At 51.3% G+C, this 27,034-nt stretch overlaps 2 protein-coding genes across 29 annotated transcripts in view, besides 5 other annotated features; one reads left to right on the top strand and one right to left on the bottom strand.

The window, feature by feature from the left end:
• The window catches only part of NR1H3 (nuclear receptor subfamily 1 group H member 3), a 20,734-nt gene extending 2,714 nt beyond the window's left edge, over positions 1-18,020 (bottom strand). The window contains exons 1-7 of one of the 22 annotated variants that reach the window (NM_001251935.2): positions 17,965-18,020; positions 17,456-17,681; positions 6,341-6,529; positions 5,645-5,911; positions 4,871-5,079; positions 4,594-4,773; positions 4,302-4,401 (exon numbers count right to left, since the gene is read on the bottom strand). In NM_001251935.2, the coding sequence (NP_001238864.1) occupies positions 4,302-4,401; positions 4,594-4,773; positions 4,871-5,079; positions 5,645-5,911; positions 6,341-6,529; positions 17,456-17,516 (1,006 nt within the window). In that variant the 5' untranslated portion in view covers positions 17,517-17,681; positions 17,965-18,020. Of the gene's footprint in view, positions 1-4,301; positions 4,402-4,593; positions 4,774-4,870; positions 5,080-5,644; positions 5,912-6,340; positions 6,535-7,060; positions 8,325-8,584; positions 8,614-17,219; positions 17,241-17,320; positions 17,426-17,455; positions 17,682-17,964 lie in introns of those variants that run through there. The other 21 variants (NM_001251934.2, XM_047426201.1, XM_011519805.3 and 18 more) reach the window with 21 other exon arrangements.
• Positions 788-1,082: an enhancer, noted in NCBI's record as "tiled region #2100; HepG2 Activating DNase matched - State 3:PromF, and K562 Activating DNase unmatched - State 5:Enh". NCBI's record gives its function as "activates a minimal TATA promoter and a strong SV40 promoter by Sharpr-MPRA in HepG2 and K562 cells {active_cell/tissue: HepG2 | K562}" and the evidence as "EXISTENCE:reporter gene assay evidence [ECO:0000049][PMID:27701403]".
• Positions 6,316-6,884: an enhancer, noted in NCBI's record as "H3K27ac-H3K4me1 hESC enhancer chr11:47280987-47281555 (GRCh37/hg19 assembly coordinates)". NCBI's record gives its function as "activates a minimal SCP1, AML or CMV promoter by ChIP-STARR-seq in naive H9 embryonic stem cells {active_cell/tissue: H9 hESC(naive)}" and the evidence as "EXISTENCE:reporter gene assay evidence [ECO:0000049][PMID:30033119]".
• Positions 17,063-17,230: a silencer, noted in NCBI's record as "fragment chr11:47270641-47270808 (GRCh37/hg19 assembly coordinates)". NCBI's record gives its function as "represses an EF-1alpha promoter that drives an FKBP-Casp9 reporter gene in an ReSE screen in K562 erythroleukemia cells {active_cell/tissue: K562}" and the evidence as "EXISTENCE:reporter gene assay evidence [ECO:0000049][PMID:32094911]".
• Positions 17,311-17,820: an enhancer, noted in NCBI's record as "active region_4694". NCBI's record gives its function as "activates an Ori minimal core promoter by ATAC-STARR-seq in GM12878 lymphoblastoid cells {active_cell/tissue: GM12878}" and the evidence as "EXISTENCE:reporter gene assay evidence [ECO:0000049][PMID:35858748]".
• Positions 17,506-27,018, top strand: ACP2 (acid phosphatase 2, lysosomal). Of its 7 annotated transcripts, none has more exons than NM_001610.4 (11): positions 17,506-17,644; positions 18,187-18,282; positions 18,593-18,679; positions 20,486-20,638; positions 20,748-20,846; positions 20,926-21,015; positions 21,453-21,585; positions 22,999-23,081; positions 23,196-23,302; positions 23,422-23,597; positions 26,071-27,018. In NM_001610.4, exons 1-11 carry the CDS (start codon positions 17,531-17,533, stop codon positions 26,202-26,204), a joined length of 1,272 nt encoding a protein of 423 aa, NP_001601.1. In that variant the 5' UTR covers positions 17,506-17,530; the 3' UTR covers positions 26,205-27,018. The 7 variants fall into 6 exon arrangements, 6 of the variants coding, with proteins under 6 accessions (NP_001601.1, NP_001343945.1, NP_001289419.1 ...); NM_001302489.2 differs by lacking the exon at positions 17,506-17,644 and adding an exon at positions 17,692-17,835; NM_001302490.2 differs by lacking the exon at positions 18,187-18,282.
• Positions 17,951-18,040: an enhancer, noted in NCBI's record as "active region_4693". NCBI's record gives its function as "activates an Ori minimal core promoter by ATAC-STARR-seq in GM12878 lymphoblastoid cells {active_cell/tissue: GM12878}" and the evidence as "EXISTENCE:reporter gene assay evidence [ECO:0000049][PMID:35858748]".

Genomic DNA, 27,034 nt, shown 5'->3' with positions numbered 1-27,034 from the left:
GTGGTTCACACCTGTAGTCCCAGCTACTCAAGGAGGATCACTTGAGCCCAGAAGGTCGAGGCTGCATTGAGCCATGATTGATCACACCACTGCATTCAGCCTGGGCGACAGAGCGAGACCCTGTTTCAAAGAAAAAAAAAAGACTTGTTTTTCACTGGCATTGGCCTTACTTATTTGAACACTAGAGATACATTTCATGTATCACATCCTCGAGGGAATATTGCAGTATGGGTGAGGATGTGGATTTTGGTGCCAGACTGCCTCGGGTTGAGTCCTGCCTCTACCACTTACAAGGCAGTGTGACCTTGTGTAAGTTATTTAACCTCTCTGGGCTTTGGTTTTCCCATCTGTAAAATGGGAATAATAATAGTACCTATCTCATAAATATGTGGCATATATGGTAACTACCACATAAGTGTTTGTAAAATAAATAAAAAAATTTTTTTTGAGACAAAGAGTCTTGCTCTGTTGCCAGACTAGAGTGCAGTTGCATGATCTCGGCTCACTGCAAGCTCTGCCTCCCAGGTTCAAGCAATTCTCCTGCCTCAGCCTCTTGAGTAGCTGGGACTACTGGTGCATGTCACCACGCCCAGCTAATTTTTGTATTTTTAGTAGAGACAGGATTTCACCATGTTGGCCAGGATGGTCTCGATCTCTTGACCTCGTGATCTGCCTGCCTCGGCCTCCCAAAGTACTGGGATTACAGGCATGAGCCACCGCGCCTGGTCAATAAATAATACATTTTTCTTGGAAACAGTCTTCCTGCTGAGAAGACTAAAATGCAACAAAACATGAGCTAAAGTAATGATACCTAGAGAATGTCTCTCATACACATTGTCAAAGTCTCTGCACCCTACAGAGTTCCCCAGGCTTTGTCAGATTTCTTTTAGCAACCATCTGCTACACTTTTCCATTCAAGGCTTCTTGGTGAGTCACTTCCTGTACTTTCACCCTGATGTTTATCAAGTGTTGTGTGTTGGTCCATTTAATGGGCAGGCCCCATTTTCTTTTTCTTTTTTCTTTTTTTGAGATGGAGTCTTGCTCTGTCACCCAGGCTGGAGTGCAGTGGCGCGATCTCAGCTCACTGCAACCTCAGCCTTCTGGTTCAAGCAATTCTCCTGCCTCAGCCTCCTGAGTAGCTGGGACCACAGGTGTGCACCACCACGCCCAGCTAATTTTTGTATTTTCAGTAGAGATGGGGTTTTGCCATATGGGCCAGGCTGGTCTCGAACTCCTGACCTCAGGTGATCCGCCTGCCTCGGCCTCCCAAAGTGCTGGGATTTCAGGTGTAAGCCACCACGCCCGGCGGCAAGCCCCATTTTCTAAAGCATTTCTTGGTGAGGTTTTGAGCCCCAAAGTGTGGCAAACAGCCCCCTTTATAGAGAAATTAAGAGGAGGTTCTATAGTTAGCTAATGCACCTCTGAGGGTCTGCTGATGCCCACGGAATGAACACCTCAAATGTGCTCAGTCCATGTCACCAGTTATCTACTGCATGCAGTAAATAGTAGCGGATAGGGAGGGGAGGAGACTTGACAAGCAGAGCTCCTGTTCCTTCTCCCCAAGACCTCACTCATGAAATAAGAAATGCAAGCATGATTACTTCAAAACTGCTTGTATAAATAAATCTATGAATAGGTGCAGATTCAGATAGCATGAGTCTACAAGTGCCAAAGGAATACAAAGATCTTAGAACTGGGCAGGGTTCCACAAGGAGGATATTCTGAAGGAGGGGAGAGCCACGGTTAAGAAGGTCTGAGATAATAACCATCGAGGAAAAAGTGGTTTGGAAGAGGGGAGCAGGGCTGGGCTTTAAAGCTGGATAAAGTCATTAAATCACCCCATTAGGTGTCAATACATCCAGGCAGCACACCGGTTACTATAGAAGGCAAAAGGTGCCAACATAGCCCTGTTATGCCCTACAGCGAAGAGTGGCCTTCCTAGAAAGCTCACTGGGTGGACTGCGTTGGGAGAGCAAGAGGCACGTGAGCTGGCCTGAGTTATCAGAAACCAAGGAAGGCTTGATGACTGGCCTGGCCACAGATCTACCAGCCCTGAGAGTGGAGTCAGGGCATCAGCCATATTTTACAGCCCCACTCATCCAGTCGTTAAGCTACTTGGTTTCCTGCTGAAGCTCAATTCCAGTCCCTCCAAAACTCCCTCAGCCTCCCGTCCTTTCCCAGGCCAGTTCTCATGATACAAACATTATCAATAGTTGAATATGAAGAAACCCCTTCTGCGTAGCTCCCAAGCGAGCATCAGATAGAGAGCCGCAGAATGAACTAATTTTTGGAGAAAATACTTCAGATATAGGATGGAGATGGAAGCATTCGCTCTTATTGTACATCCTCTCTGGGCATGTTTGCCATGCCATGGTTCTGGTTCGTCAGAAAGTGCAATTGAAAAAGAGTAGGGGAGGGGCCTGGACAAGTGGCTCATGGCTGTAATCCCAGGACTTTGGGAGGCCAAGGCGGGCGGATTGCCTGAGCTCAGGAGTTCAAGACCAGCCTGGGCAAAACAGTGAAACCCCATCTCTACTAAAAATACAAAAGTTAGCTGAGCGTAGTGGCGCGCGCCTGTAGTCCCAGCTACTCAGGAGGCTGAGGCAGGGGAATCGTTTGAATCCGGGAGGCAGAAGTTGCAGTGAGCCAAGATCGCGTCACTGCACTCCAGCCTGGCAACAGAGTGAGAATCCATCTCAAAAAAAAAAAAAAAGAAAAGAAAAAAAAAGAAAAAGAGTAGGGGAGGCTGTGTGTGGTGGCTCATGCCTGTAATCCCAGCACATTGGGAGGCCGAGGTGGGTGGATCACTTGAGCTCAGGAGTTCGAGACCATTTTGAGACCAGCCTGGGCAACATGGCGAAACCCACTCTCTACAAAAAAATATAAAAATTAGCCTGGCATGGTGGTGCATGCCTGTAGTCCCACCTACTTGGGGGCTGAGGCAGGAGGATTACTGGAGCCCAGGTGGTTGAGGCTGCAGTGAGCCACGTTCATGCCACTGCACTTCAGCCTGCGTGACAGAGCAAGAACTTATCTCAAAAAAAAAAAAAAAGTAGGGGAAATCAGCCCCCATGATCCCCAAAGAGCACATGTGAGGAAGATTTGTTCACTTTTTGACTACTAAAAAGTTGAGTGCACTGAGTTTCAAACTTTTTTTTCAAGCTGTAAAATCTGCAAGCAAAATACTATGTAGCAGTGCAATATATAATGCAGATTTAAATGGAGCTTCTTGTTTGGCTAAAGTAAAGATGAAGGACATTCCTGTGCCTCCCTGTTTCTCCTCCAAGGTGCCATTCCATATATCTCTCAGGTTCCTTGGAATACAGTTTGAAAACCACTGACCTAAAGCAACAGAGGACAGGGGTCTATCTGGAGCAGCTGAGAGAAGCCTATCAGCATTCCAATTTTCTATCTTCAAAAAACAAGGGAGCCTTCCCTTACCAGCCACCCAAACATTGGGCCTGTGGCTCTGTAGTCACTATGGGCCTCTGACAAAAAGCACCAGTCCTGGCCAGGTTCAGTGGCTCATGCCTGTAATCCCAGCATTTTGGGAGGCTGAGGCACATGGATCACTTAAGGTCAGGAGTTCAAGACCAGCCTGGTCAACATGGTAAAACCCTGTCTCTACTAAAAGTACAAAAATTAGCTGGGCATGGTGGTGCACCTAATCCCAGCTACTTGAGAAGCTGAAGCAGGAGAATTGCTTGAACCCGGGAGGCGGAGGTTGTAGTGAGCCAAGATCACGCCACTGCACTCCTGCTTGGGTGACAGAGCAAACTCTGTCTAAAAAAAAAAATGAAACAAAAAAAAAGTACTTGGCCGGGCATGGTGGGTGGCTCACGCCTGTAATCCCAGCACTTTGGGAGTCAGAGGCAGGAGGATCACTTGAGGCCAGGAGTTTGGGACCAACCTGGGCAACATAGTAAGACTCTATCTCAATTTTTGTTGTTGTTGTTGTTGTTGCCCAGGCTGGAGTGCAGTGGTGCGATCTTGGCTCACTACAACCTCTGCCTCCCAGATTCAAGTGATTCTCCTGCCTCGATCTCCCAAGTAGCTGGGGCTACAGGCGCGTGCCACCATGCCTGACTAATTTTTTGTATTTTCAGTAGAGACAGGGTTTCACCGTGTTAGCCAGAATGGTCTTGATCTACTGACCTGGTGATCTGCCCACCTCGGCCTCCCAAAGTGCTGGGATTACAGGCATGAGCCACCGCGCCTGGCCCTCAATTTTTAAAAATAAAAAATAAAAAAAGAAGCATCTGTCCACCCAACCCCAATCCCTGTGTGATCTCAGTTCTCACCTGCTTTGGCAAAGTCTTCCCGGTTATAACTGAAATCCTTGAGGAAGGTGATACTCTCACTCCCAGGGTTGTACCTCCGAGATGTCTCCAGAAGCATCACCTGCACACAAGCAGCAAACCTCAAACGGGGACTAGGAGGGCTGGTCTTGGAGCATGGCCTCTTCCAGGGAGGCCGATTCTCCTCATCCCTGCTTCCCAGCAGATTTGGCTCTCCCAGCTCGATGTCTGGAGGCCCCTCCCACAGATAATCCCACTCTGCTTCTCCCTTCATCCCTTGCCCTTCTCCAGCCACCTCGATCGCAGAGGTCTTCAGCAGGGCAATCTGGTCCTCCCGGCTGAGCTGCAGGAAGCCGGGTAGCTGTTTAGCAAAGTCAACTATCTCCTGCACAGAGACGATGGCCAGCTCAGTGAAGTGGGCAAAGCGCTGCTGACGGGCCTCCCGGCTATGGGGATCTGGTGCCATGGGCCAAGGCTACCCAGGAGGGAAAAGGCAAAGCGCTTTGAGTCGGACATCAAGAAGCCCACTGGTGATCTGGGCGCAGCCGCCTCTCCCCAGGTGTGTCAAGTACCGTGACTCGAAGCCGGTCAGAAAAGGAGCGCCGGTTACACTGTTGCTGGGCAGCGACGAGCTTCTCGATCATGCCCAGTTGTTCCGGGCTGAGCTGGGGCAGGATTTGGGGGGGTGAGGAAGCCCTGGGGGGCAAGGATGTGGCATGAGCCTGTTCCTCCTCTTGCCGCTTCAGTTTCTTCAGGCGGATCTGTTCTTCTGACAGGACACCTAAGGACAGGGCCAAATATGAGGAAGGGAGCAGATGGGGAAAGGATGGGGCAAGGGGGTGGGGGAAAGACAGGAGGGAAGGATGGGGCAAAGGGGGTGGTTTGGGGCTCCAGAAAAGCAGACAGCACTGGGTAAAGGCAAGAAGATTTTTTTTTTTTGAAACAGAGTCTCACACTTGCTCAGGCTGGAGTGCAGTGGCATGATCTTGGCACACTGCAACCTCCACCTCCCGTGTTCAAGTGATTCTCCTGCCTCAGTCTCTTGAGTAGCTGGGATTACAGGCGCTCACCACCACACCCGGCTAATTTTTGTATTTTTAGTAGAGTCGGGGTTTCACTATGTTGGCCAGGCTGGTCTCGGACTTCTGATCTCAGGTGATCCACCCGCTTCGGCCTCCCAAAGTGCTGGGATTACAGGCATGAGCCACCGCGCCCGGTCAAGAAAGATACTGGGATCCATACTTAGGGATCAGTTAGCCCCTGCAAGTTCAGGCACCTGTTTTGGGTCACACCCTGGCCCCCTCTTTCCCCTCAGCCTCTTCCCCACTCCAGCCCCAGAAACTCACACTCCTCCCGCATGCCAGCCTGACGGCATTTGCGAAGCCGACACTCCTGGCACTTGCGACGCATGTAGGTGTCCATGGGGCAGTGGCCGCCACTGTGGCAGATGTAGTGCGCTCCCTTGATGACGCTGCGGCGGAAGAATCCCTTGCAGCCCTCGCAGCTCAGAACATTGTAGTGGAAGCCCGAGGCCTTGTCCCCACACACGCTGCATAGCTCGTTCCCCAGCATTTTGGGGGCTGGCCCCTTTTTCCGCTTTTGTGGACGGATCTCTGGATACAGGAAAGTGCTTCAACGCTCTCCCCCGAGGAAAAACATCATGTTCTCCCTGACTCAGCCACTGCCCTGGGCACTCAGTGACCTTCATTCCCTTCATTATACAAACTCCAGTCTCTCTTTTATGAGAAGAGTAGCCCTCATTTGCCAAGTGCCATTATGTTCTAGGTACTGTATGAGCCTTTTATATGCACTGATCCTTATGACAACCATAATTTTTATTTCCATTTTATAAACAAGGAAAGTGAGGCTCAGAAAGGCCTAGAGACAAAATTCACACTTAGATCAGTCAGATTTAGTTAGCTCTAAAGCCTCTGAACTTAACCATGAGATTATATATAAAGTAAAAACCCCCAAGGAACCTCTTCCAGATCCAGGACCTGGAATCTGGACCCCTACCTCCTCCAAACCCAGAAGCTCCTCACCTGTGGGTTCTGAAGGGGGCTCTGCCCTGGTGAGCAGGGCTGTGGGCTCTGCAGCCTCCAGCCCCACCCCTGCAGTACCCCCAGCAGAGTGGGGCATCCTGGCTTCCTCTCTGAGGATGCAGCTGCTGCCTCCCTGGGCCTGGCTGCTTGCATCCTGTGCGCCTGGCTTCCACAGCTCCACCGCAGAGTCTGAGCTCCAAAAGAGAGGCACAAGGGGGTCTCAGGCCCCATCCCGGCTCCACGGCCCAGCGTCCTAGCTGGGAAACTGCAAACTTATCCCCACCCTTAGAGGGCAGCAAAGTCCCAGCTCAGGCTTTGGGACCCTAGAGTCTGTGTGGGCTCTAGCTAGGACTAGTCACTTGTAGTTTCTTACATCTCAGGACCTTAAATGAAGATGTTAATCCTTGTCCCTTTGGGGGGCTGGAGTGTATGCATTTCAGAGATCAGATAAAACTCTTCAAAGCCAGAGCAGGGTAAGCACTCAGCTGGCCAACTCTCTAGCAGCAAATCCAGACTGGGGAGGACTGGGCGGGTGCCTGCAAGGGCCAGGCACTGGAACCAGGGGAGAGGTGATCTGGGCGGGAGGCAAGCACGACTAAGAATGACTCTGGACTGCTCTCTGGAGGAAGGAAGAAGGCAGGTAATGAAGGAGGCTGATTCCTACAGGAGGCGTGGAGCCTGCGGTCTGGGCTCAGGGGAGAGGGATGGAATGAAGCTTACCAGGAGGAATGTCAGGCACAGGGGCCCCCAGCCACAAGGACATCTCTTCCTGGAGCCCTGGTCATTACCAAGGCACTGTCCTGCAGGAAGGACCCAGATTATACTCTTCTAGAACTGGGCTCCTTTCTGGCCTCAGCTCCCTTCTCCACCTGATCCTCCCTTTTATCAATATCAACAATATCAGCTAACATTTACTTGCCATATATTAGCCTGTACTAAGGCTTTATTATATTACTATTATGTTTTTTAGAGACAGGTTCTCCCTATTTTGCCCAGGCTAGTCTAGGAATTCCTGGGCTCAAGTGATCCTCTCACCTGGGCCTCCCAAAGTGTGGGGATTATTGGAGTAAGCCACTGCGCCCAGCCTGTTATAAGGCTTTATGTGCTTTCCTCATAATATCCCTCTGAGGTCAAAACTATTAATTTTTTTTTTGAGATGGGGTCTCTCTATGTTGCCCAGGCTGGAACTCAGTGCTATTCACAGGTGCAATAATAGGACACTATCGCCTCAAACTACTGGGCTGAAGCAATCAGGTTTCAGCTTCCTGAGTATCTGAGATTATGGGCGCACGCTACTGCTCCTGGCTCAGGACTATTCTTAAACTCATTTTACAGATAAGCAAACTGAGGTTCAAAGAGATTAAGTAACTATGGTCACACAGTTAGGCGGCGGTAGAGTCAAGACTCCAACCCTCCTCTGACTCCAAAGTCTGGGCTCCCAGCCACCGTGCCGGCTTTTCTCCCCCAAAGTCCCCTCCAGGCCAGCAGGGAATGTTTGGGTGCATCTGCCCTGCTTCTCTTGGGCCCCTTCCCCCTCACTCCAACACTGAGGACAGCTCACTCCACCCAGTGAAACACGCTGCTTATTAGAGAACCTCGCTCGTGCCACTTTCCAGGGTCCCAGCACAAACCTGTCTCCAAGAATCTCCCCAATTCACATAGAGGACCTCCTCCCCTGAGCCCCTCATGAGTTATTCTGGGACCCAGAGTCCTGCTCCTGTCCCAAGCTTCCATCACCATCACCCCTCACTTCTCCCCAGAAACCCCCTTCTCAGATCCTTAGGACATTCCCCGACCCCACCCCAGATACACACACAGAGCCCCAGGCCACTGCTAAGGAGCAGACCCACCAAATCCCCAGGCCACCAGACTTCCTGGGTGGGCAGTCTCTGGAGCCCCCTTGCTGGGAGAAGAGGATGGTGCAGTTTCCTGTCCAGAAGTCTCGGTGGCCAGCCAGTGAGCTGGAGCTGAGCACAAGCAGGACCTGGAGCCCCAGAGAAGTAGCAATTTGGGGAAAGGCTGAGGGGAGGGACTGCCGAGGGGTCAGGCCACCCCTCCTTCCTGCCTGGTGACCACAGCCCTCCCCTCCTCACCCCCGCCCACAGGGCAGCTTCTCCACCAGGCTGGCTCCTCCCCAGCCGGCCACCCCCTCTCCCGCCACTCCCGCCCCCTACTCCCGGCCAAAACAGTGGCATTTCCCTGCAGACCAGCCAAGTTCCATGTCTCTCCCCTTCCTCTCCTTACCCAGCGCTCTTAGCAGCTCTTGCAAAAGGACTGCCTCCCAGGAACCCCCACCCCAATCCCAGCAGCCTCCAGAATCGTGTTCCCTCCCCTCCATAGGCACCTCGTGGAGCAAAGGTCCCAGCACGGCCCGGAATTGCGACACTGAGCCCCAGCGGCTTTCCCAGCCTCCCTCCTCCTCCCTTGCCTCTGGGAAGAGGCCAAGAAGCTCTCCCCACTAGCCCCAGGCCTCAGCCAAGCTGGTAGAAATCCAGGGGTGGAGAGAGGCAGGTGCTGGGCCTTCCAGGGAGTTTCTGAAAGTGGGTGCCCTGCGGGGGCCACAGATAAGAGAGGAGGCCAGGAGAGCCTTTGATAGGAAATCTGCTATGAGCAGTGGCAGGCCTGGGATAGGGGTGGAGGTGGCAGAAGGAAGACAGGCAACTCAGGTGGCAGCCCAGGATGGACCTGGGAAGGTATGCGGGTTGCCTCTTCTGGGGAACAACCCCATCTGAAGTGATGGCAGGCTCCAACCAGCAGCTACTGAGACTATAGTCATTCTTCCTACTCTGCTGCCTGGGGCATGAAATCCATCCCTGAAAGTAGACATCATATTTTATTGATTTCATCTCCCCCAACACCCCTGAAACAGGGCTGGCATAGATGTGGCAACAGAGTAGGTACTGTGTTCCTATTTGTTGAATGAATAACAAGAAAAATATAATATATTCTCGGCCGGGCGCGGTGGCTCACGCCTGTAATCCCAGCACTTTGGGAGGCCGAGGCAGGCGGATCACGAGGTCAGGAGATCGAGACCATCCTGGCTAACACGGTGAAACCCCGTCTCTCCTAAAAATACAAAAAATTAGCCGGGCATGGTGGCAGGCGCCTGTAGTTCCAGCTACTCGGGAGGCTGAGACAGAAGAATGGCGTGAACCCGGGAGGCAGAGCTTGCAGTGAGCCGAGATTGCGCCACTGCACTCCTGCCTGAGTGACAGAGCGAGACTCTGTCCCCAAAAAAAAAAAAAAAAGAAATATTATTCTCGTCTATCCCGTACTTATTAGCCCTAGTCAATTTTTTTTATTATTCCTTTTTTTTTTTTTTTTTACCTTTTTTGGGGTAGGGTCTCACTATGTTGCCCAGGCTGGCTTCACACTCCTGGGCTCAAGCCATCCTCCCACCTCAGCCTTCCAAAGTGCTAGGATTACAGGCACACGCCATCACAACTGCTGTAGTCAATTTCAACTCAGCATGTTGATTTAGCGTTCAGACTCTGGGCTCAGATTTTGGGTTCAAATCCTAAACCTCTTATTACCTATGTGATCTTGATTGAGCAAGTTACTTAACGTCTCTGAATCTTTGTTTCCCTATCTTTAAAATAAGAATAGTTGAGCCAGCAATGGTGTGTTGAAAAATAAATAGAACGGGCACGGTGGCTCACGCCTGTAATCCCAGCACTTTGGGAGGCCTAGGCGGGTGGATCACTTGAGGTCAGGAGTTCGAGACCAGCCTGGCCAACATGGTGAAACCCCGTCTCTACTAAAAATACAAAAGTTAGCCAGGCATAGTGATGCGGGTCTGTAATCCCAGCTACTCGGGAGGCTGAGGGAGGAGAATCACTTGAATCTGGGAGGTTGCAGTGAGCCGAGATTGTGCCACCACACTCCAGCCTGGGTGACAGACTGAGACTCCATCTCAAAATAAAAAAAAGAAAAAGAAAGAAAGATAAATAAAATAGGGATAATAGTAATTTTTACCACACAAGGTTGTTGTGGGATTGAAACTACAGATCATGCAGGGTGCGGTGGCTCATGCCTGTAATCCCAGCAGTTTGGGAGGCCAAGGCAGATGGATCACTTGAGGTCAGGAGTTCCAGACCAGCCTGGCCAACATGGTGAAACCCCATCACTACTAAAAATACAAAAAATTAGCCGGGTGTGATGATGCATTCCTGTAATCCCAGCTACTCAGGAGGCTGAGGCAGGAGAATCACTTGAACCTGGCAGGCAGAAGTTGCAATGACCCGAGATCGCGCCATTGCCCTCCAGCCCGGGCAACAACAGCAAAACTCCAAAAAAAAAGAAGAAAGAAAGAGAGAGAGAGAGAGAAAGAGAAAGAAAGAAAGAAAGAAAGAAAGAAAGAAAGAGAGAGAGAGAGAGAGAGAGAAAGAAAGAAAGAAAGAAAGAAAGAAAGAAAGAAAGAAAGAAAGAAAGAAAGAAAAAGAAAGAAAGAAAGAGAGTCTATCACAACGTGTGGCACATAGTGTTTGAGAAATGGCACGAGTTATCATCACCCTCCCAGTTCTTTCAGCTGTAGGTCTTCCCATTGCTTTAACTTGGTGGATTTTGAACTTTGTACTTGTTTCCATACACAGCACAAACCCTTCACTATCTTTTCTGGTCCTTAGAGCAGCGCTGGGAGGAAAGGAGGGTAAGTAACCCGAGCTCCATTTGACAGAGAACACTGAAACTCATGTGAGGGCCTTTTCCAAGACCACACAGTTAGTGGCTGGGCTGGGATCAGAACCCAGATGTCCTCACTCCAGTCCCTTTGCTGTGTCAGAGTCCAGGACAATCTTGTCTTGTTGCGTCTTGGGCCAGTGAAGTGCTGTAATGGAAGCAGCCAGGGCTGGTGGGCTACAGGGGAGAGGCTGAGAACCCTGCAGATGCTCCAGTCCAGATGTGGGAGGCAAGCTGCTGAGGTTACTGCTGGTCATTCACCCCCTGCCCCATTCCCAGTTTCCTGCTCACCGGCTCTTCCTGTTTTGCTATGAACTCCAGTTCCCATGGGCCCCACATTAAAGCATAGAAGGACGGGGGCCAGGGCAAGCAGCCAAAGAGACCGAAACAGATGAACAGGGCACCAGGGAAGAGAACACAGGAAACAGGGAAAGAGTGGACAGGGGGTGTAGATGGGACAGAAGGAACCAGATGAGAAAAAGATGAAGGCTGAGGCAGAAGAGCAGCCTGGTGAAAGATGAGAGGAAGCACAGGGTGGGAGAGGGGGAACAGGCCGGGGCTGGGGAGCAGAGTGTGAGAAGACAGCAGGCTGGGTGCTGTTGCAAAATCTGCCCATGTATTCATTTTCACATTTCAGAAAAGCCCCTGTGACACCCCCATCTCAGACTTCTGCCTCCAGCTTTTGCTTTTGTTCCCCCTCATCACAAGGTCGTCCCCTCCCAAGGCCCCCACCCTGGTCTGGGTATCTCTGAGTCACAAGCACAAGGCTCTCCATTCCTCTCGCCTGTGTTCCCTCTCTGATTTTCACAAGGCCCCAGCTGTCCTGGAAAAGCAGAAACCAGGGACTCTAGTCACTGAGAGACTGGCACTATTCTGTCCCAGCACCCACATCACCAGTCCAGCTCCCTCCTCTACCTCCCTGCTCCCAGAAGCTCCAGCCCAGCAGGGCAGCCAGAGATGTCACAGAGATGGCTGGTTTCAAGAAACTCAGGACTCAATGGTCTGGGGCCTGGTGCCCTATCTTCTGGGAGCTGGGAGAAGCCTCTTTCATCCACTTTGTTCTTCAACTCCCTCCCCTGACACCTAGTCTCCCCACAGGTGGCTTCCCAGGACCCAGGACCACATACGAGCCCCATCTTGTGGGAGTGGGGGTGGGCAGGCTAGGGTCTCCTGTTTAGGAGGAATTATAACCAGGACTTCAACTGCCAGAGCCGTCCTATCAGGTTACAGCTCAGAAACCCCAACCCTCATCCCTACAAAGAGGGAAAAGGAGAGGAAAATGGGAGAAGACCAAAACCTGTGGGCAGTATTTCCATGGAGTTTCTGGAGACCAACCACTGAGACTTACTTCAAGCCAGGGCAAGCAGTGAAGTGATCAGCAGCTGGAATCATGTTCCCACTTTGGCAGCCCCACCCCCGTGCCACAGTCCCACCAGCCCACAGTTGTTAGGTCCAAAGTCCCCCAGTCCTATGGGCCTCTTCTGTGTTTCCTTGGCTCCTGCAGGAGGCAATGTCTCTGGGAACACACTCGGGGATCTACCAAGTCACATATCTGGCCCCCCAGAACCTCCACAGGTTTCTTCTCACAGCAAGGAGAAACTTGAAGCAGAAACAGGAGCATTCACCAGCCATGGTCACAGGTAGTACTGGCTAACTGCCCTGAAAGTACTCATTCCCATGAAGCAGGCCACAGGGTAAGGTCTGCAGGGATGGACCAGGAGAACTGCTTCTTGTTCCCTCCTTCACCGTTCTGGAAGGGTGGAAAGTGCAGGGATCATCTTGCAGACCACTGCGTATCTACTCAAGTGACTTCTGCCCAACCTTCCAATCACAACATAGAGAATAATCCAGAAACCTGGATTCCCAGACCTGAGTTCAGAGATGATACAGAAGGCAGAAAGGAAAGATGTGACATTTATTTCATCCCTACTACATACATTTATCTTTACATGCATTATTTCATTTATTCTCACAGTAAACTCTAGGAGATAGTTACTAGCAAGGGGCAAATATCAAATTTGAATACAGGTATAAGACTGGGTGTGGTGGCTCACACTTGTAATCCTAGCACTTTGGGAGGCCAAGAAGGGCAGATCGCTTGAGTCCAGGAGTTTGAGACTAGCCTAGGCAACATGGCGAAACCTCACCTTTACAGAAAACACACACACGCACAAAAATTAGCCAGGCGTGGTGGCATCTGCCTGTAGTCCCAGCCACTTGGGGGGCTGAGGTAGGAGGACTGTTGGAGCCCAGGAGGTCGAGGCTGCAGTGAGCCATGATTGCACCACTGCACTCCAGCCTGGGTGACAGAGGGAGACTGTCTCAAAAAAAAAAAAAAAAAAAGAATACAAGTTTAGCTGATTCAAAAGTTTGAGCTCAAGCTCAAACAAACAAAAATCACAAATACACTCCATTATATAAAACTGCCGGCTGGGGCCGGGCGCAGTAGCTCATGCCTGTAATCCCAGCACTTTGGGAGGCCGAGTGGGTGGATCACTAGGTCAGGCTAACACGGCGAAACCCTGTCTCTACTAAAAATACAAAAAAAAAAAGCCAAAAAAATTAGCCAGGTGTGGTGGCAGGTGCCTGTAGTCCCAGCTACTCGAGAGGCTGAGGCAGGAGAATGGCGTGAACCTGGGAGGTGAAGCTTGCAGTGAGCCGAGACTGTGCCACTGCACTCCAGCCTGGGCGACAGTGGGAGACTCTGTCACAAAAACAAAACAAAACAAACAAAAAAAACAGCCGGGTGGGTGCGGTGGCTCACACCTGTAATCCCAGCACTTTGGGAGGCCAAAATGGGCAGATCACCTGAGGTCGGGAGTTCGAGACCAGCCTGACCAACATGGAGAAGCTGTCTCTACTAAAAATACAAAATTAGCCAGGCGTGGTGGCACATGCCTGTAATCCCAGCTACTCGGGAGGCTGAGGCAGGAGAATCGCTTGAACCCGGGAGGCGGAGGTTGCTGTGAGCCGAGATAACGCCATTGCACTCCAGCCTGGGCAACAAGAGCAAAACTCCATCTCAAAAACAACAACAACAACAACAACAACAACAAAACAAAACAAAAACTGCCTCTTCAGATGGAAAAAAAATGGCTAACATACCTGGATTTAGGTTTGCTTCTGCCAACACAGAATATGGTAGTGGTTCCTGTCCTCACCTTCAGAGATTCTGATTTATTTGATCTGGGATAGGCCCACATATCCATCTATCTACATGTGTTTTTTTTTTTTCTTTTTTTTTTTTGCACCTGTAGTTACGAACCAAAGTGTAAGAACCACAGAATCATCTGGCAGAAAATGCAAAAGCTGAAGGCAAAGGGGTGAAGAAACTAGGGCTCAGCTTCAGGCTCTACTATCTACTTGCGCTGTAATCCCCACCCTTCCTGGAATAGTTTCTCCCTATAAAAACTGAAATAGTATCTGCTTCATCAATCCCTCCTACGTGGGATACTTGCATGCACAAAGAATATAGACATATTTGAGCAAGTGGGAAGAAAAGCAAAAGCTGAATTTGAGAGATAGCTGAAATTTGGTGAGCCAAAGATTTACACTCTGAAAGTACAATGGTCTGGCTAGTTTGCAAGGAGTAAGAGGCCCATTAAAACAAAACACTCAACTGCCTCCCACTACCACTAATATGCAGCATTTTGCCAATTACCCAAGCCCTCTTTATTTTATTTTTTTTTTTGAGACAGAGTCTCGCTCTGTTGCCCAGGCTGGAGTGAAGTGGCACAATCTCGGCTCACGGCAGCCTCTGTATCCTGGGTTCAAGTGATTCTCCTGTCTCAGCCTCCCCGGTAGCTGGGATTACAGGCACACGCCACCACGACTGGCTAATTTTTGTATTTTTAGTAGAGATGGGGTTTCACCATGGTGGCCAGGCTGGTCTTGAACTGCTGACCTCAGGTGATCCACCCGCCTCGTCCTCCCAAAGTGCTGGGATTACAGGTGTGAGCCATGTCCGGCCTAGGTCCCGTTTAGTCCAACTAATTTGAAAAGGTTTCCTTTGACAGATACCTCTTTATTGAAAGGATTTCGGGATCACCAATTACAGTTTAGTAATGCAGTTTGAGTAGCCTGCAAGAAGCAGCCCATTATAGACTATTTAACTGAAAATCACAAAACCTGACTTTTTTTTTTTGAGACGGAGTCTTGCTCTGTCGCCCAGGCTGGGGTGCAGTGGCACGATCTCCGCTCACTGCAAGCTCCGCCTGCTGGGTTCACGACATTCTCCTGCCTCAGCCTCCTGAGTAGCTGGGACTACCGGCACCTGCCACCACACCCGGCTAACTTTTTGTATTTTTAGTAGAGATGGGGTTTCACCATGTTAGCCAGGATGGTCTTGATCTCCTGACCTCGTGATCCACCCGCCTCGGCCTCCCAAAGTGCCGGGATTACAGGCGTGAGCACGCACCCGGCCAAAACTTGACTTTTAATCCATTCTCAAACTGTGCCCATGCCCAAACTGTGAATTTGGGCAAGTCACTTCCTCTCTTTAGGTTTGTTTCCTAAGCTGTAAAGTAAGAGGACTAGGTTAAATCAGGTATTCAGAGATGCTGATTTATGAAACCTGTAATAAATGGTCTTTGTGAACCATTTGGGATTATATGCAAAATTCCATGTGTGTGTTTATATGTGTGAACATTTTTCTGGAGGAGAGGTGCAAAATTTTCATGTGATTCATAAAGGGGCTTGTGATTAAATAAGAAGGTTAAGAACTGTTTGGCTACCCAGGCTTTGGCTCTTACTCTATTTGCTTCTTGGCCTCCTCCATGACAACTCTGGAAGCAAAGTTTAAATCCTGAAGTATATATAAATAATTGAATCTGGAGTCCTAGGACAAAATAAAGACAGATAATCCTGATCTTTTTTTTTCTTTTCTTCTTTTTGAGACACAGTCTTGCTCTGTCATCTAGACTGGAGTGCAGTTGCACCATCATGGCTCACTGCAGCCTCAACCTCCTGGGCTGAAGGTGATCCTCCCACCTCAGCCTCCCGAGGAGCTAGGACCACAGGTGTGTGCCACCACACCCAGCTAATTTTTAAACTTTTTTTTGTAGAGAGGAGATCTTCCTAAGCTGCTCAGGCTGGTCTCCAACTCCTGGGCTCAAGCAATCTTCCCACCCTGGCCTCCCAAAGTGCTGGGATTAGAAACGTGAGCCACCACACCAAGCCTAATCAGGTTTTTGTTGTTGTTGTTTTGAGACAGTCTCACTCTGTCGCGCAGGCTGGAGTGCAGTGGCGTGATCTCAGCTCACTGCAACCTCCGCTTTCCGAGTTCAAGCGATTCTCCTGCCTCAGCCTCCAGAGTAGCTGGGATTACAGGAGCACGCCACTGCACCCGGCTAATTTTTTTTTTTTTGTATTTTTAGTAGAGACGGGGTTTCGCCACGTTGGCCAGGCTGGTCTCGAACTCCTGACCTCAGGTGATCTGCCTGCTTCGGCCTCTCAAAGTGCTGGTATTACAGGTGAGCCACGGCGCCCAGGCCAAGCCTGATCAGTTTTGTTTCCCAAAGATCTGAGGAGATTTGCTTCCAGTAGGCAGATCTGAATCAAAGCATCCCCAGGACCTATGATCTGACCTGCAACCGTCACAGGAGTCACAAAGTCCTGAGGCCAAACTGGCTGCACCTGAATCCTAATGGTCAATGCCAAGAGGGCCATTGATTCTGTGGAAACCCCACCTACTCCCACTTTATGATATGCGCCTGTCCCTTACCTCAAAATACCTCCCCACTGGTCTGAAATTCCTCCCCCAGGGATTCAGTGCTTTGGGTTTGTAAAGTCTGAACATCCTGTGCAACCCAACTCCTTTGGGAAGAGGCATGACATGACGTCTTGACTCTAATTAACTAAAACTTGGAAGTGGAGGGGAGGGAGGACAGGGAAAGGACTGGAAGGGAAAGTGAGAGGGCTACTGAAGCTTTGTGCAGGGCAGGAACGGTAGGCCAGACTGGGGCAACCTCAAGGACACACGGAGTCCAAAGGGTTGTTTACATACTGTGTCCTGCACCCCAAGCAAAACATCTCCTGGAGAACAGGGCCAGGGCTCAATCTCCCCACAAAGGCAGGGGCGTGGAGAGAAGCGACCTCTACTTTCCCATCCCTCGCCTCAATTCTGCACCCGATCTAGCTATGGGGTCAAGCCTGGAGGGGACGCTGGTTCTCCAGACATGGTCCCGCCCACTGCAAGTGCCACCTTGGTAAGGGATTTCTCCGAGCAGAGGCAAACGCGAATTTGTGGCCTTCTTAATCAAGATGAGGTCTTCGAGCCCTGTCTGCCGCGCCAGGTCGCGTTACCTTCTTATGCTCCTCCGCCACAGCCAGACCACGACCCTCCTGCACGCAATCCCACCGAGACTGCGCCTTTTCCCCGCACCCCAGCAGGTCCCTAAGTAAGATGGCGGCGAACGCACTTCCGGCGTGTGTCCTTACGGGTGCGTCCGGGCGGCTGCTTGCAGGTGCCACCCAGCGGGTTCCAGCTTGTTTGCTGCATAGATTACAACGGTGATGGCGGGCAAGCGGTCCGGCTGGAGCCGGGCGGCTCTCCTCCAGCTCCTTCTCGGCGTGAACCTGGTGGTGATGCCGCCCACCCGGGCCCGGAGTCTGCGCTTCGTTACCTTGGTAATGAGAGATGGGCTCACCAAAGACTTCCCTGAAGCTAAAAGGGCAAAGGCCAGCTGGTGGAGGTCGAGGATCTCGGGAAGGAACAGCTGGTTTAGGAGGGGACGACTGGCCTGGGTAGTTGGGAGGCTGGATTCAGGATTGACCTGGAGCCCTGGCTTATGGGAGTCAGGATGACCGAATACGTCGGGGTGAGTCTGCCTTGAGACAGGGAAGTGGTTGAATGGTTAAGACTCATCCCTAAAGAAGCCTTTGGTTATCTTTTTTCCCCAGTTGTCCCCACCACATACGTTGCTTTCACTTCTCTTTTCCCTTCCTACCTGTACCTTGGCTTTGCCTATGGTCTCCAGTAGCATTGCTTAGCTAAGTTAGAATCTCTGGAATCTGGAAGAAGTGACTGACTCCTAGCTGGGGTCTTTTGCAGCCAGTAGGCTTCCCAGAGGGAATGAGACTTCCTTCCCTAACATGGGGCAAAAGGTAGGCTCTGGGTCCCTATCAAGGGGATGCTTCTGACCTATAGGCAAACCATTTTATTCTCTCAGCTGTACCGCCATGGAGACCGTTCACCAGTGAAGACATATCCCAAGGACCCCTATCAGGAAGAAGAATGGCCCCAGGGGTTTGGTCAGTTAACCAAGGTGGGTCAGAAGCCAGCCTTTCCTCAGGATGAGCTGCAGAATGAGCGACGTCTAGAGCAGTCTACAAAACTTGGGGTCCTACTAAACTGCCTTTTCCCATATGGGTGCTGACTTTGACCAGATTTCATAACCTTAATCTCTGTGCCCATGATATTGCTGTGCATGACTGGCCACTTAATGAAAGACTTCTGGGATCAGATTAATTGACTCCAGCAAAGCGTGAACCTGGAAAGCAACAGGGCCTAAACCCCATGGGGCTTGAAGCCACCCCTTCCCTCTAGACCCTCTTAACCCTTGGGTTTGCCCACAGGAGGGGATGCTACAGCACTGGGAACTGGGCCAGGCCCTGCGGCAGCGCTATCACGGCTTCCTAAACACCTCTTATCACCGGCAAGAGGTAAGGTTGGGAGCTCCAGAGGCAAGGGGAACAAGGTATGCTGCCCTCATCTTTTGCCCTCAGGGAGCCTAAGGCTGAGGCTGGGCACTTTGGCCTCCTTCTTGTATTTTTGGTCACAACTACAGGAAAAGACATCTGAGAGCTGTCTGGAACAAAGCCCTAGGAGCTGAGTTGCCCCTGCTTGGCTGGGATGAGGCAAATTTGATTAAGCATCCAAATTCGGACTTAAGGGCGGGCCTGGCAAAGTGGTTTCTGACTGTGAAATCACAGGCTTTCCATCCAAGACATTGAGTACCTATTAAAGGCCAAGGACTGTGCTAGCACTTTGCATTCAGTTGTGCACCATACAGATATGATCTCTGTCTTCATGGAGCTTAGAATGTTGTGGGGGTATCTAATGATAAACCAGACAGGGCCAAGATGAAAGACAGCGGGGAAGACATGCGTAGAGAGGGCTTGTCTTTTCTTGATCAAGATGAGGTTTTTGAGCCCTGTCTGCTGCGCCAGGTCGTGCTATATTCCTAGGGCACATCAGGGAGGACTGGTGAGTGTGCCTGCTCCTTGAGTCTTCGCCCCACCCCAGGAATGGGGGAAGCTGTTCCTCTGATTACCACTGTCAGCCTCAGCCGTATCAAGAATCCATAGACATTGTTATTGTTCTCTTAAGGCCCAGCTCTGTCCTGAGCTTGTCCTTCCCCAGTTTCCTCCTCCCTTTTCATGAGCCACTATCTCTGAATAAGCTCTTCAAAAAAAATTTTTTTTTTTGAGACAGAGTCTTGCTGTGTTGCTCAGGCTGGAGTGCAGTGACATGGTCTTGGCTCACTGCAACCTCCACCTCCTAGGTTCAAGCGATTCTCCTGTCTCAGCCTCCCAAGTAGCTGGGATTACAGGTGTGTGCCACCATGCCTGGCTAATTTTTGTATTTTTAGTAGAGACAGGATTTCATCATGTTGGCCAGGCTGGTCTTGAACTCCTGACCTCAGCTGATCCGCCTGCCTCGGCCTCCTAAAGTGCTGGGATTACAGGCATGAGCCACCGTGCCCGGCCCAAAATATATACATATATTTTAAAGGGGTCTCACTCTGTCACCCAAACTGTAGCACATGCCTCAGTCATAGCTCACTGCAGCCTCAAACTCCTGGGCTCAAGTGATCCTCCTGCCTCAGCATCCCAAGTAGCTGGGACTACAAGTGCCCGCCACACTTGGGTAATTAAAAAATTTTTTTTTGTAGAGACAGGGTCTCACTATGTTGCCCAGGCTGGTCTCGAGCTCCTGGCCTCAAGCGATCCTCCTGCATTGGCCTCCCAAAGTGCTAGGATTATAGGTGTGAGCCACCAGGCCCAGCCCTTTATCTTATTTTTTTCTCCCTGGTCTCTAAGGGTCGTCACTGGAGCCAGTTTCTGCCCCAAGGACCCTGATCTAGACAGGGAGAGAGGTGTTGTTATGAAACCAGACAGACCAGAGAGCCTTACTGATTGACTCAGCACTTTTGACTGGAAGGGGCATTTCAACTAAGGCCATTCCCACAAGAGTTCTTCACAGAGTGGTGACAACCCCCAGTGGAGTGTTTGGGGGATGGGGAAGGCCAGAGGCCAGAGGAGGGTGAGGGCCAGATGTATGGTAGGTTTAGTTTGCTGGGTGACCATCAGGAACAGGTTCTCCTCTGGGGCTCCACTTTGGGGTGACCAAAACTTCCCACCACACACACACACATACATACAAGGCTCCACTTCAGGGTGACCAAAACTTCCCCAACACACACACACACACACACACACACACGACTTGTGTTGCTATCGCTGCAGGTTTATGTGCGAAGCACAGACTTTGACCGGACTCTCATGAGTGCTGAGGCCAACCTGGCTGGACTCTTCCCTCCCAACGGGATGCAGCGCTTCAACCCGAACATCTCGTGGCAGCCTATTCCTGTGCACACTGTGCCCATCACTGAGGACAGGGTAAGAGTGGCCAGCCCTTCCCTGGGGTGGTGAGGGGACAGCTCTGGCCGTAGGCCTGCTGATGCCAGGCTCCTTTTCCCGCTGCCTGTTTCCCCGCTTCGCTCTACAGCTGCTGAAGTTCCCGTTGGGCCCATGTCCCCGTTATGAGCAGCTGCAGAACGAGACCCGGCAGACACCAGAGTATCAGAATGAGAGTTCTCGGAATGCAGTGAGTGGGGGCAGAGGTGCAGCTCACCACGCTGTCTTTTCCCCAGAGCAGGACTGAGACCCTGATCCATTTTTCATAGCAATTTCTGGACATGGTGGCCAACGAGACAGGGCTTACAGACCTGACACTGGAGACCGTCTGGAATGTCTATGACACACTCTTCTGTGAGGTGAGCCCACTAGGGTGCCCACTGTGATCATTCTTTTCCCTCTCAGCAGGCCCAGGTCACCAGGACGGTAGAACACAGTGCCTGATACCGTCACGCCCCTGGGGAGGTCCAGGGAGGCTGTGCTTGTGAAACACGGGAACTTCCCTCATGGGTGACAGAGATCCTCAGAGTGGGAAATGGTTTATTAATTGTCAGCAGTCCCTGCTGCTCTCCACCCAGAGCTCCTTTCTGCTGAGTCTCACTTTTTGTGCCTGAGCTTCCTTTCCTGTGCCCTGAAGCATCCACACCGCCTGCCATGTCTACTGGTTCCAGCCCCTCTGCCTCTCTCCCCTCTCCCTCCCTCACACACACAGGCACCTTCCCACTAGGGAAGAGAGCTGCCCCCTGGAGAGGCTGGCCTAGGCCTGGGGCGCTAACCTGCCTGCTGCGATACACAGCAAACGCACGGGCTGCGCCTGCCGCCCTGGGCCTCACCCCAAACCATGCAGCGTCTCAGCCGGCTAAAGGACTTCAGCTTCCGCTTCCTCTTCGGAATCTACCAGCAGGCGGAGAAGGCCCGGCTTCAGGGGGGTGAGTGACAAGGACAGCGTGTCACTCTACTCCTCAGGACCCTAAGGCGTTAAAAATCTGCTGTGGGGGCTTCTCACACACTTCCCTCTCTACTGAAACACTCCCTGCTCTTTCAAAACCAAATCCCCCTCCTCATGCCGCTAGTCACCAAATTTCCCCACCTCTCTTCCTTTTCTGCCATTCATATTCTTTTTAAAAAAATTGTTATTTTTTTTCGGGGGGATGGAGTTTCCCTCTTGTCACCCAGGCTGGAGTGCAATGGCTCGATCTTGGCTCACTACAACCTCTGCCTCCTGAGTTCAAGCAATTCTCCTGCCTCAGTCTTCTGAGTAGCTGGGATTGCAGGCACATGCCATCATGCCTGGCTAACTTTTGTATTTTTAGTAGGAACGGGGTTTCACCATGTTCGCCAGGCTGGACTCAAACTCCTGACCTCAGCCACCATGCCCAGCTAATTTTTGTATTTTTAGTAGAAACAGGGTTTCACCATGTTGGCCAAGCTGGTCTTGAACTCCTGACCTCAGGTGATCCACCCACCTTGGCCTCCCAAAGTGCTGGGATTACAGGCATGAGCCGCCATACCCAGCCTATTTATTTTGAGACAGAGTCTTGCTCTGTCACCCAGGCTATAGTAGAGTGGCACGATCTCGGCTCATTGCAGCCTCCACCTCCCAGGTTCAAGCGATTCTCCCGCCTCAGCCTCCTAAGTAGCTGGGACTACAAGTGCCTGCCACCACGCCCAACTAATTTTTATATTTTTAGTAGAGATGGGGTTTCACTATGTTGGCCAGGCTGGTCTCAAACTCCTGACCTCTGGTGATCTGCCCGCCTCAGCCTTCCAAAGTGCTGGGATTACACACATGAGCCACCACGCCCAGCCCTGCCATTCATGTTCTTAAGTTTCGCCCACATCAGAAGACCCTCCCTCTCCTAAATGAATAGCTGCCCCAAGAGAACCACTGGGGGCCATTTTGAGAAGGCTGAGAGTAACACACATGCCAGCTTCCTTATTTGAGCACCTAAGGGCATGCCTGCTGTCACACCTTTTTGACATCTCACTTTTCAGAGCATATGGTAGTTACCCGGGCATGCACCCACCCGCTGTGTACTCTGAAGCAATCTTAAGTTTACATTTGTTTCAAACTGAAGTGCTTCTGTAAACACAGGCAGGTTTCTACATCCGTGTTGAAATATAGGCAGATATCTTGTTTTGTCTTGCTTCCTTCTGTACATTTGACAGTTCTTAGAGAGGAGGGGTGCCACAGAGTTCTTACATGGTCCCTATGACACTAAAGAGTTCTCCGTGTAGGTGATGAGGCCCAGGCCTGGCAGAGGGTGAAAGGAGCACAGATAGGTCTAATTAGAAGGCAGAGGTGGCTGTAGCCAGCAACACCGGGGACTTTTCTCCTTCAGGAGTCCTGCTGGCTCAGATAAGGAAGAACCTGACCCTAATGGCGACCACCTCCCAGCTCCCCAAGCTGCTGGTTTACTCTGCGGTGAGTGCCTGCGCTCCCTAGCGTGCTGTGTCAGGCAAGGAGCTGGATTTCTTCTCTGTTCGGTTCCTGCGGGTGTGGGGAACAATGCTGACGGGCAGCCCCTCTCCCCCGCAGCACGACACTACCCTGGTTGCCCTGCAAATGGCACTGGATGTCTACAATGGTGAACAAGCCCCCTACGCCTCCTGCCACATATTTGAACTGTACCAGGAAGATTCTGGGTGAGTGGAGCTAGCAGTGTCCTCTGGAGGGGGGCCCTCGGGAGGTGGCTCGGGGCAGCCCAAGGACCCCATGATGGGCAGGCTGAGCAGCTCCCATGTTGCCTCCTGTCGACCCTCAGGAATTTCTCAGTGGAGATGTACTTTCGGAACGAGAGTGACAAGGCCCCCTGGCCGCTCAGCCTGCCTGGCTGCCCTCACCGCTGCCCACTGCAGGACTTCCTTCGCCTCACAGAGCCCGTCGTGCCCAAGGATTGGCAGCAGGAGTGCCAGCTGGCAAGCGGTCCTGCAGACACAGGTGAGCTGTCACCGGCCTCCTTGCTAGTCATGCCCTAGACCAGCCTGCAGTTCACATCCACGCATCTCAAGAGCTGTCGCACTTCCAGCCATTTGACTGCATTTGCTAGGAGTTCCCTCCCCGACCCCAGACTGCTTTATACCTTCTCCCCACTTCTCACCCTCGGGTGATGTCTCACTTGTATCACCGAGAAAATAAGAGCCAAGAGAGAATTGGCTCGTTCTCCCACCACCAGGTTACTTCCTGGGGGAAGCCACCGCTTAGGGTGGCCTCTCCACCCGCACTTGGGTTCTCTCCTCATCTCTGCAAGGAGCTCTGACGCCTCTGCTTCTCTACTGGATCACTTCCCTCCCAAAAGCCCATCCATGACCTCTGAGAGCCACCTCTTCCCCAGCCACCAGCCTCTTCCCTCTCAGAATGGAATCCTTGAAAGAGCTGCCTAGAATCTGGCTCTGCTTCCTCACCACTTGTTCTCTTAGACTCACATTAGACAGTCTTGTGTCACCTTCCACTACCCTGAAGCCATACTTGTCTGGTGACCAGTCACCTCCTACCAAAGCCAGTGACTAATTCTTAGCTTCTCTCACCTCTCAGCAGCATTACATAATTGGTCACCCCTTCCTGAAACACTTTCTTGGCTTCTGACTTTCAGGCGTCCCTTCCTCACTAAAGAACGGATGACCCAGGACTCATCCCTGGAGCTTTCCCCATCTGTGCACACTCCCAAGTGATCTCATGCAGCCTCATGACTTTATGCCCATCTCCATGCCCACTTCTGTCCTTACGCCCTGACTCACAGATTCACAACCTCTTCTCTGAGCTAGAGACTCATATCCAGCTGCCAACTTGAGATCTCTACATGCATGTTAAGTAAGGCATCTCAAAGTTGCAATGTCTAAAACCAGATGCTTTTCCTTCCACAGCTGCTCTTCTTCCAGGCTTCCTTGTTTCAGTCAATGCCACGAGTCACCTAGTGGCACAGTATAACCCTTGGGGTCATTCTGCATACCGTTTCTCATACCCCTCATCCAGCCCACTGCCAGATCAGCTCAACCTTTCAAATATTAATATGTGCTCTTGCCTCCGCAGTCCAATCTACCGTCAGCTCTTGCCTGACCGAATGAAAAGCTTCCTAGTTCTTTCTGGTTCTATTCTTGTCCCTACCAGTCTTTCAACACAGCAGAGTTAACTTTTTTTATTTTTTTGAGATGGAGTTTTGCTCTTGTTGCCCAGGCTGGAGTGCAGTGGCGCAATCTCGGCTCACTGCAACCTCCGCCTCCCGGGTGTAAGTGATTCTCCTGCCTCAGCCTCCCGAGTAGCTGGGATTACAGGCATGCATCACCATGCCCAGCTGATTTTGTATTTTCAGTAGAGATGAGGTTTCTCCATGTTGGTCAGGCTGGTCTCAAACTCCCAACCTCAGGTGATCCGCCCGCCTTAGTCTCCCAAATTGCTGGGATTACAGGCATGAGCCACCGCGGCCGACTGAGTTAACTTTTAAAAAATGTAAACCAGTTCATACTACTGTCCTCTCAGAATTTTCTAGTGGCTTCCCATCACATATAGAATAAAATCCAAGTTCTTCACCATGGCCTTCTAGGCCCTACTCCATCTGGTCTCCTGCCCCATCTCCTACATGCCCCTTGCTTACTCTACTCTGGTGAGACTGACTCTTGATGATACTAGCATGTGCCAGGCTTATCCCCACATCTGGGCCTTTTGCCCTTCGTCTCCTCTGCCCTGTGATACTCTTCTCAGATTGTTGTATGTCATTCATTGACTCCAGGTCTCTGTTAAACTTCTCACTTTCTCAATGATGCCTTCCCTGCTGACCTACTTTGCTTTGTCTCTCTGTATCACATTCGTCACTGACCTGTCACTCCTAATTTTTTTTTTTTTTTTGAGACGGTGTCTCATCCTGTCACCCAGGCTGGAGTGCAGTGGCGTGATCTCGGCTCACTGCAACCTCTGTCTCCCAGGTTCAAGCAATTCTCCTGCCTCAGCCTCCCGAGTAGTTGGGATTACAGGTGCACACCACCATGCCCAGCTAATTTTTTGTATTTTTAGTAGAGACGGCATTTCACCACGTTGGCCAGGCTGGTCTCAAACTCTTGACCTCAGGTGATCCACCCACCTCGGCCTCCCAAAGTGCTGGGATTACAGGTGTGAGCCACTGCGCACGGCCAACTTTATTTAGTAGAGATGGGTTTTCACCATGATGGCCAGGCTGGTCTCCAACTCCTGACCTCAGGTGATCTGCCCACCTCAACCTTCCAAAGTGTTGGGATTATAGGCGTGAGCCACTGTGACCAGCCCATTTGCTTATTTATTACATCCCCTCTCCTAGAATGTAAACTCCATGAGAGCAGGGACTCTGTCTTGGCCACCTCTGTGTATCTCCTATATGTCAGAACAGTAGCTGGCATATGATGGAACGCTGACATGACCTTTCTCTTGCCTCCCCCATGCCCAGAGGTGATTGTGGCCTTGGCTGTATGTGGCTCCATCCTCTTCCTCCTCATAGTGCTGCTCCTCACCGTCCTCTTCCGGATGCAGGCCCAGCCTCCTGGCTACCGCCACGTCGCAGATGGGGAGGACCACGCCTGACAACCACTCAGCCCCCTTCCCTCCACCTCCTAGGGGAGGTGGGCTGGGCCCTCGCTCCTGACTGTTGCTGCTCCCCAGCCCATGGACAGGAGATCCTGGGTTGGGCCTCCCTCTGATGACCCCAGCCAGATGAGCGAGTGGGGCTCAGCGTGGCCCATGGTGCCTGTCACTCAGCATTCCCATGCCTGATGTTTACCAAGTGCTGTGTTGGACACTGGCTTTCTCCAAACAGGATTTGCCTCCTCCACGCTCCCTACACACCTGAGATGTAAACTGGCAGTCAGTGTTCACTCAGGACCTAGGATTAGAAAATGGCAGAGTTGGTGCTGGATCCACCTTGCACTTCTATCAAGCCCTGTTCTTTTTCCTCCAGCCTGAAGTCTTCGGCAAATAGCTCAGAGGGACACGGTCTTGCCTCTCAGTGCTTATTTTAGTGGGAAAAACAGCTAATACCAGGGGTACAAACATTGGCTCCCAAGGAACTGGATCACCCAACAGCCAGCCAGCCACATTTCCCTGTGTCTGGCTAGAGCCACCATTAGACTCAGACAGAATGCTTCAGGAATCGTTGTCACCCCTTCAACTGGAGCAGGACGGAAGGTTGTCTGTACTTGGGAGGGAGTAGGGAGTGGTGGGAAGGGAGTTGCTTGTCACACGAATCAGGAAACTGCTCTCCCTCAGCTGGGCTGGGGTCTCCAGGGACCTGAGCTACATGCAGGTTGTGAGCTGGAAAAGAAAGTTCTAGACTGTGGCCCAGAATAGGGCTGGGGCAGCTCCCAGAGAATGAATAGTGCTGTTTCCTATTGGACTGATAGTGCTGTTTCCTGTGC

The sequence above is a fragment of the Homo sapiens genome, chromosome 11, assembly GCF_000001405.40.
Source record: "Homo sapiens chromosome 11, GRCh38.p14 Primary Assembly".
Lineage (NCBI taxonomy): Eukaryota > Metazoa > Chordata > Mammalia > Primates > Hominidae > Homo > Homo sapiens.
Note: the sequence above shows the minus strand (reverse complement) of the source record. Positions and strands in the feature narration are given on the sequence as shown.